The 7491-nt window shown below is 53.4% G+C and overlaps 2 annotated features.

Annotated features, from left to right (window-relative positions):
* Positions 5973 to 6561: an enhancer, noted in NCBI's record as "H3K4me1 hESC enhancer chr9:137874925-137875513 (GRCh37/hg19 assembly coordinates)". NCBI's record gives its function as "activates a minimal SCP1, AML or CMV promoter by ChIP-STARR-seq in naive H9 embryonic stem cells {active_cell/tissue: H9 hESC(naive)}" and the evidence as "EXISTENCE:reporter gene assay evidence [ECO:0000049][PMID:30033119]".
* Positions 6562 to 7152: an enhancer, noted in NCBI's record as "H3K4me1 hESC enhancer chr9:137874334-137874924 (GRCh37/hg19 assembly coordinates)". NCBI's record gives its function as "activates a minimal SCP1, AML or CMV promoter by ChIP-STARR-seq in naive H9 embryonic stem cells {active_cell/tissue: H9 hESC(naive)}" and the evidence as "EXISTENCE:reporter gene assay evidence [ECO:0000049][PMID:30033119]".

Raw genomic sequence — 7491 nt, 5'->3', positions numbered from 1 at the left:
GCCCCGTGGTGAGCTGGGCCCTCTGCAGATCCAGGGGTATAGTGGAGAGTAGGGAGAGGTCAGCACAGCTTCCTGGGGAGAGGAGGAAGGCAGCCGTCCTTCCATCCAGCATCTGCAGGAGCTCCCCACGATGTGCCCAGGCTCATCCCACCCTCCCAGCCCAGTTCCGGTTTCCAGCGCCACCTGCCAAGCACAGCACTGTTCACCTCCCCACTCGCGGGGTGGACAGTGGGCACCTCGTGCTGGGGCTGGCATCGCCCTCGGCACCATCTTGAATCGGTGGCAGTGATCTCTGCATGAGATTTCAGTCTCCTACCATTAGGCAGCGGCCCCACTTCCTCAGTCTCCCCTCACACCCCTGACCAGGACACTCCTTCCTGTGTGGCCACAAGCTGCCTCGACCTGCAGAGTAATGTTTGTTTTCCCCAATCCTGCTAAGTGTCCAGCCCCCACCCCCTCCCGATTTTAAAAGCACCTGCCTGTTAGTGTCTGAAAAGACAGCAGATACAGTGGTCGGTGCTGTGGGTTTGGGAGACCCCCGTTCATTCACTGCCCCTGACACACACACCGCTGAAGAGCAGAAGGCACCTCACACAGTCTGGACACCCCTCCGAACCTCATGTTCAAACGGGACCCCAGTGTTGGAAGGGCGCCTGGTGGGAGGTGTCTAGGTCACGGGAGCAGATCCCTCATGGCTAGGCACTGTGCTGGCCATAGTGAATGAGTTCTCGTGAGGTCTGGCTGCTGAAAGTGTGCGCCATCTGCCCCCGGCCCCTGCCTCTGCCTCTTGCTCCTGCTCTGGCCGTGTGACGTGCCTGCCCCTGCCTTGCCTTCCACCTTGAATAACAGCTCCCTGAGGCCTCTCCAGAAGCTGAGCAGGTACCAGTGCCACGCTTGTATAGCCTGCAGAAGTGTGAGCCAACTACACCTCTCTTCTTTATCAATCACCCAGCCCCAGGCATTTCATAACATCAAGGCAAAAACAGACTAACGTAGTACCCAGGTCTCTGATCCCTGGGCCCAAACATATCCCAACACAAGCTCCCGGGAGGGAGGCGGCCCCGTTGCTCCCATCTCTCTGAATCAGGTGGGTGGGGGGCCTGCTTGGGTGTCTGGAGGCCACAGCAGAGGCTGGGGAAGGCGGCTACTGAGCCCCAGCTCGGGGGACCCCCCTCCTACTGGGGGCAGATGGAGGGAAGTTGGCTTTGGGTCTGCCCTTCCCCGTGGGGTAAAGGACCAGGCGCCATTTCAGCCAGCTTGTCACTAGGAAGGCCAAAACCAGAGAATGGGGCCACATCACAGAAAATCCCAATTTCCACGTGGAAAAGTTGTGGCTTCCGGCTGAGTGCAGCTAGCCCAGATCCTGACAGACCAGAGCGACGCCACTGCTGGTGGAGATTGACAGAGAATATCCCGGGCTTTGGTGGGAAGAGAATGGAGAAAGCAGGGAGGGTGGGGGCAGAAGCAAGGTCAGTGCTGCTCTCACGGCCCACATCCTCTCCAGGCAGTGGCAGAGAAGAGGCCAGATGTGTCCTGGGCACCTGCATATGCCTCTGCTCTCACGTGACCTGCACACATGCCAAGGCCAGGTGGCTTCTCACCTGCCATTCCCAGGGTGGGGAAGGCCAAGGGTTCAGGCTGCTCCCCCGTCACTACTCAAGGAGGAGATGACCCCTGCTCCCTGCCCACTGCAGAGAAAGCAGGGACCCCCAAGAGTCTCCCTGTATTTCTGAGCCAGGTGACCCTTCACACAAGTCACCTTGGTCTTTTCTGGGGAGCCTTGTTCTATCACTTCTTCCCTAACTTCTTCTGTCATTTTGCAATTGCTCTGCCAGCAAGGGCATTATTTGTCGATGCTCCTCAGGCATTATTTGATTAAGAGGTTGCAATGCCATTTTAGAAGCAAAGTCCTGGAATAATCCGTATTGATAGCTGGGAGAAATACCAATTGGTGCCCCTCCATAGCAGGAAGCTGGATGAAAACCCAGGATGCCACCCACGTCTCACCGCTCAGTTGGAGTCCCTGCACACTAAGCTATGTGCCAAGGCACCCGAGTGAGTTACTTCTCACTGCTGGGACGGCGGCCTTGGAATTCCAGTAATGCAAATTGTCCAACCCTTTCCCTTCACTAAGGGGGTCTCCATATTTAGAGCAAACAACTACTTACTGAGTTTTCACTCTGTCTAAATTCCCAATCCTGGATCATTCACAATCTAGTTGTGAAAGTAGAATGTTTGCCCACTAAACAGCAACAACTACAAAGAAGACAACAAAGACGAGAAAGAATCAACTAGTAAATAATGGGGTGCTTATTCAAAAGTACAGGAGTTGAGGAAAGGAGGAAAGTGTGTGTGGAGGGGAAGTCAAGGGAAGCTTCAGGGAAGAGGTGGCTTTCACACCAGGCTTTGAAACAACTACCGTTTCATGCTCTTGTGACTGTGGGTTGGCATTTGGGCTGGGCTCAGCAAATGGCTCTTCTGCTGGCCTTGGCTGGGGCTACTCCTACAGTTGCAGACATCTGGCAGTTTCCTGGTGCCAGATGGTCCAGATGACCTCACTCATCTGAGTGGTGGTTAGCACCAGCTCTTAGCTTGGCTCATGTCCTCCACATGGTCTGGGTTCTTTTTTTTTTTTTTCCTTTTTTTAAAAATACTTTAAGTTCTAGGGTACATGTGCACAACATGCAGGTTTGTTACATATGTATACATGTGCCATGTTGGTGTGCTGCACCCATTAACTCATCATTTACATTAGGTGTATCTCCTAATGCTATCCCTCTCCCCTGCCCCCACTCCATGACAGGCCGTGGTGTATGATGTTCCCCACCCTGCGTCCAAGTGTTCTCATTGTTCAATTCCCACCTATGAGTGAGAACATGTGGTGTTTGGTGTTCTGTCCTTGTGATAGTTTGCTCTGAATGATGGTTTTGAGCTTCATCCATGTCCCTATAAAGGACATGAACTCATCCTTTTTTATGGCTGCATAGTATTCCATGGTGTACATGTGCCACATTTTCTTAATCCAGTCTATCATTGATGGACATTTGGGCTGGTTCCAAGTCTTTGCTATTGTGAATAGTGCTGCAATAAACGTACGTGTGCATGTGTCTTTATAGCAGCATGATTTATAGTCATTTGGGTATATACCCAGTAATGGGATGGCTGGGTCAAATGGTATTTCTAGTTCTAGATCCTCGAGGAATCGCCACACTGTCTTCCACAATGGTTGAACTAGTTTAGAGTCCCATCAACAGTGTAAAAGTGTTCCTATTTCTCCACATCCTCTCCAGCACCTGTTGTTTCCTGACTTTTTAATGATCGCCATTCTAACTGGTGTGAGATGGTATCTCATTGTGGTTTTGATTTGCATTTCTCTAATTGGCCTGCGTTCTTTATATGGTGTCTCAGGGCAGTGGGATGCCAGAGGGGAAGCTGTGAGATCCCAATTTTCACCACCTTCCTCACCACTTTCTACAGCTCAAAGCCAGTCTCAAGGCTGGCCCAGATGCAAGGGGCAGGAAACAGCCTCCACTTTCAGTGGAGCTGCAGGGTCACATTGAAAAGGGCCCTACACGTGGGATGGGAGACATGGTGGTGCCATCCATGCAAACAATTCCACACCATAGGAAGACCTCAGTGGTCCAGACATCAGCCTCAAAGAGGGACATTCCTGAGACTCTGACCTGACCACATTCTCAGAAATGGAACAAATATCAAAGGGAAGGCTCAGGGCACCCGCGGCCATGGGAAATGGGATAATGAGCCACAGGCCAGGGGACTCGGAAGGCAGGAGACCTGGATCTCATAGGCATAGAGTGGCATTCAGGAGAGGGCTTTGGTGGCAGCTTCCACATTTTATATCAACATGGAAACTAAGTCCAGGCAGTAGAGGACTTTCTCAAGGTCACAAAGAAAGGTGGTGGCTAAGCGAGAACTGGAATCCCGGTGGTTCCTAGCCAGGGCTTTGCGGTCAGTGACCTGGTAGAAAGCTGAGTTTGCTGTTCATGACGGAGGCTCTTGCTTGCTGCCAGCCAAGTGAATGAGAAGGTGGCCGTGGGGATCAGACACCAAGAAGTGTGATTGGCAGACGCCAAAGGGCATAAGAGATTCCCCAGAATTAACGTTAGGGTCTGTCCACAGTGTGACTCTGGATAGAAGGGATGTCATACCTATTAGTCCCCAGGAAGATGTTTGTGGAGTAAATGAACAAAAGAAAGAAATGAATCAAGGTCTTGTTTGCACTTGTGCTAGTGTGTCTGCTGCTGGATTGAGTGTGTTAAATATTCAACTTCACCGAGCCAGCATGACACCTGTATATGCCGTTCTTACTACCATCTCGGTTCAGGACTTCTCCTCCACCTGTAACATCCCAGCGGGCAGTCTCTTCTCGTGCACTCAGTGATGGGGACTCACCCCCAAGGAGGCAGCAGAGGAAGGCGGGGGCTCAGCAGGTCTATGTAGGATTTGGCACATCCTTCAAAACCAGGGCACTGGAAGCTAGACACAAGCTGCAAGATGTGGCAGCCGAACCCAACCTTAATGTCCTTGCCCCATCTCATGGCAGATGGCCAGAGGTCTGTCTGTTGTTGGCCACAGATGGACTCAAATGATCCCCAGGGCACTGTGGTAGACACGGAGATGGGCCCCAGACACCCTCTGCACACATGGCCTCACTGCCCAGCTGCAGGGAACAGTCAGCCCACAGTCTCAGCCATCGGCATCTTCTGAGCCAGCCTGGGCTGCCAAGAGCTGCCCCACTGAGCCCACACCCTTCCTGGGGAGCCATTCCATGGGATATTCCAATGAGGACCGTGTACCCCAGAGCTCCCTACCAGGTGGGCCAGAGGCTTTTCAGGTTGCACACAGCATCGTTCTGCCTGGTCCTGCCTCCGCTACTTCCAGGCGTTGGACCTCCTGGACGTCCTGCTCCCAGACTCCACCGTGGCCTCTGCTTCTGGAGAGCCCAACCTAGACAGACCCCACTTCTACTTGGGGCTCCAGTCGGCCCCTGGCTTGCATTCGTGAAGCATCCTGAATTTTTTTCACCCTGACCTCTGCTTCTCTGTGGCTCCGTGGCTGGTCCTGGTTCCCCATTCCCAAGGCTGTTCCGTGGCCGGGTCTGGGAAGGAAGGACACCCCTGCTGCAGTTCGAGTATCAGCAGCAGCAGGAGCCCTGTGGGACCTGCGCTGTGGGACCCACCCCGTGGTGATACTGTGATGGAGGCGGCCTCTCCGTCCGCTCCCCCGCCTCAGCCTCAGAACTGGCATCCAAGTGCTGCTTGCATGACTTTCCTGTAGCTGCTGGAACAGAGTGCCACACCCTTGGGGGCTTCAAACTACACACATTTATTTTCTTACAGTTCTGGAAGTCAAAGGTCTAAACCAAGGTGCCAATGGGGCTGGCTCCTCCTGGAAGCTTCAGGGGAGAACCCCTTCCTGCCTCTCCTGCTTCTAGAGGCCTCCTGCATTCCTTGGCTCGTAGCCCCTTCCTCTACCTTCAAAGCTGGGAACATCACGTGAAAGTTGTCAGAATCAAAATAGAGTCACTTGTGTCAAACCCTAACAAAAAAAAAAAGTCAAGAGGCTAAGAAGGGCCCTCCCTGCCCCACACACCTGCCGGCGGTAAGAACTATCATAAAGGCTCTCTGAAGGGCTCTTATCTACATATGCCTGTAGCAAGAACTTTTCCGAAGGACTTTCCAAACTGCCACTTGCTATCTGAGTCACAGGGACAGCTGGTCGGATGCACAAGAACCCTTGCCTGACACGCTGTCTCCATCTCCAGGCATGAACTGACGTCAACTCTCACAACAAGACTCTGTGACCAGGGTTCTCTTTGCTTCAAAACAACTTATGTGCATGCCTCCCTTTGCCTTTAAAAGCTTCCCCTTGCCTCAACCTCCTTGCACATGCCTGTGGTCCCCACAGCCCTCGTAGCCAGGACAGGAACCCCGCCTATGCACTCCTGGATACACTCAGCATCACTGGACGAGCTGTCTCTGTTGCTTAGGTTGACAGTGGCATCTTCGACTCTCGCGTTGACCTCTGCTTCTGTGGTCATATCCTTTCTGACTTGGACCCTCCTGCCTCCCTCTCATAAGGACTCTTGTGGCTCATGGGGCCACCCAGATAATCCAGGATAAGCCCCCATCCCAGGGCTCTTCACCTAATCCCACCTGCAGGGTCCCTTTTGCCATGCCAGGGAACATACTCACAGGCTCTGGGTTTAGGGTGTGGACATACTTGGAGCCGTTATTCAGCCCACCTGAGTGCCTTATTTAGGGAGGGACAGGAAGGGCCGAGTGGCAGATAATCGGGTCAGATCCTGCGGGCTCTGTGGGTAGCCGCCGGCAGGTGGCGGTAACTGACCTCAGGCCACACTTGGACTTGCATAAAGCTATGGGTCAAGTTCCTCCGGGTGAAGTGCAGTCCCCACCCCCGCCCCCTGTGCTCAGGGTCCTTTGCGCCTGCTATTCCTGTGCACGCAGAGAAAACTGCCCCTCGGGCCTTCGCGTGGCTGTCCTTCCCCACTCCAGCAGGGCTCTGTTCCAGCGTCAGGATCTCTCCACCGCACGTCCAAAGTGCGGCCCACTCGTCGCCCCTTCACCCTGGCCTGTCCCTCTCAGCAAATGATCATCTCTGTGTTTACTGTGTGTCCTCGGTAGAACATAAGCTGCCCAAGGACAAACAGGGTGTGTTTTGTTCATGGCTCTTTTCCAGGGGCTACAGGAGCAATACAGGCATTTAGTGGGTGTCGTGGGGTTGAACTCTGTCCCCCAGAAAGATATGGGGAAGTCCTAGTTCCCAATACCTGCAAAAGAGACCTCATTTGCAAACAGGGTCTTTCAGGTGTAGTCAGGTTGAGATGAGGTTGTACTGAGGGGGGGTGGCCTTAGGAGGGGAAGGGGGTTCCGGAGACACACGCGGAAGATGGCAGCAGAGACTGGGGTGACGCCCCACTGACCTGGATGTTGAGCTCCCGGCCTCTGGGCAGCAAGGGAAGGAATTCCTGGGGGTTGAAGGCCCCTCATTCATGGTCTTTTGCTACAACAGCCCTGGGAAAGGAACAAGGCAGGATTCGGCTGTTTGTGAGGACGCACAGTCCAAGGCACCAGCACGAGGGTGCTGGCTGCGGACGGCTATCCTGAGCCTCTCCTGGCCTAGCCAGCCTGACTCTCCAGCCACAGCCCACCCAGCCCTGATGTGCAGGATTCCTTCGTTCTGCTGTAAAGATGGGGGCACCCTTCCACTTCAGTGGAATCTTTGAGCAGCTGCCTGTCATTTAAATAATTTCTCTTAATTTTTTAAAAAAGATAAATTTAAACATTTAGATAATTTAAAAGAAAACGCAGCTCCTACTGCCCTCCTTGTATAACCACCATCCTCTCACTGTCCGTCCTCCCCGTGGAATGATCATTATCTCGCCATCCTTCCTCCCTGTATAACCATCATCGTCCTCCCGCCGTCCCTCCTCCCAGTGTAGCCATCATA

Source organism: Homo sapiens, chromosome 9 (genome assembly GCF_000001405.40).
Source record: "Homo sapiens chromosome 9, GRCh38.p14 Primary Assembly".
NCBI classification, from domain to species: Eukaryota; Metazoa; Chordata; class Mammalia; order Primates; family Hominidae; genus Homo; species Homo sapiens.
The sequence above is the reverse complement of the archived record's forward strand: the minus strand, read 5'-3'. Positions and strand labels throughout refer to the sequence as shown.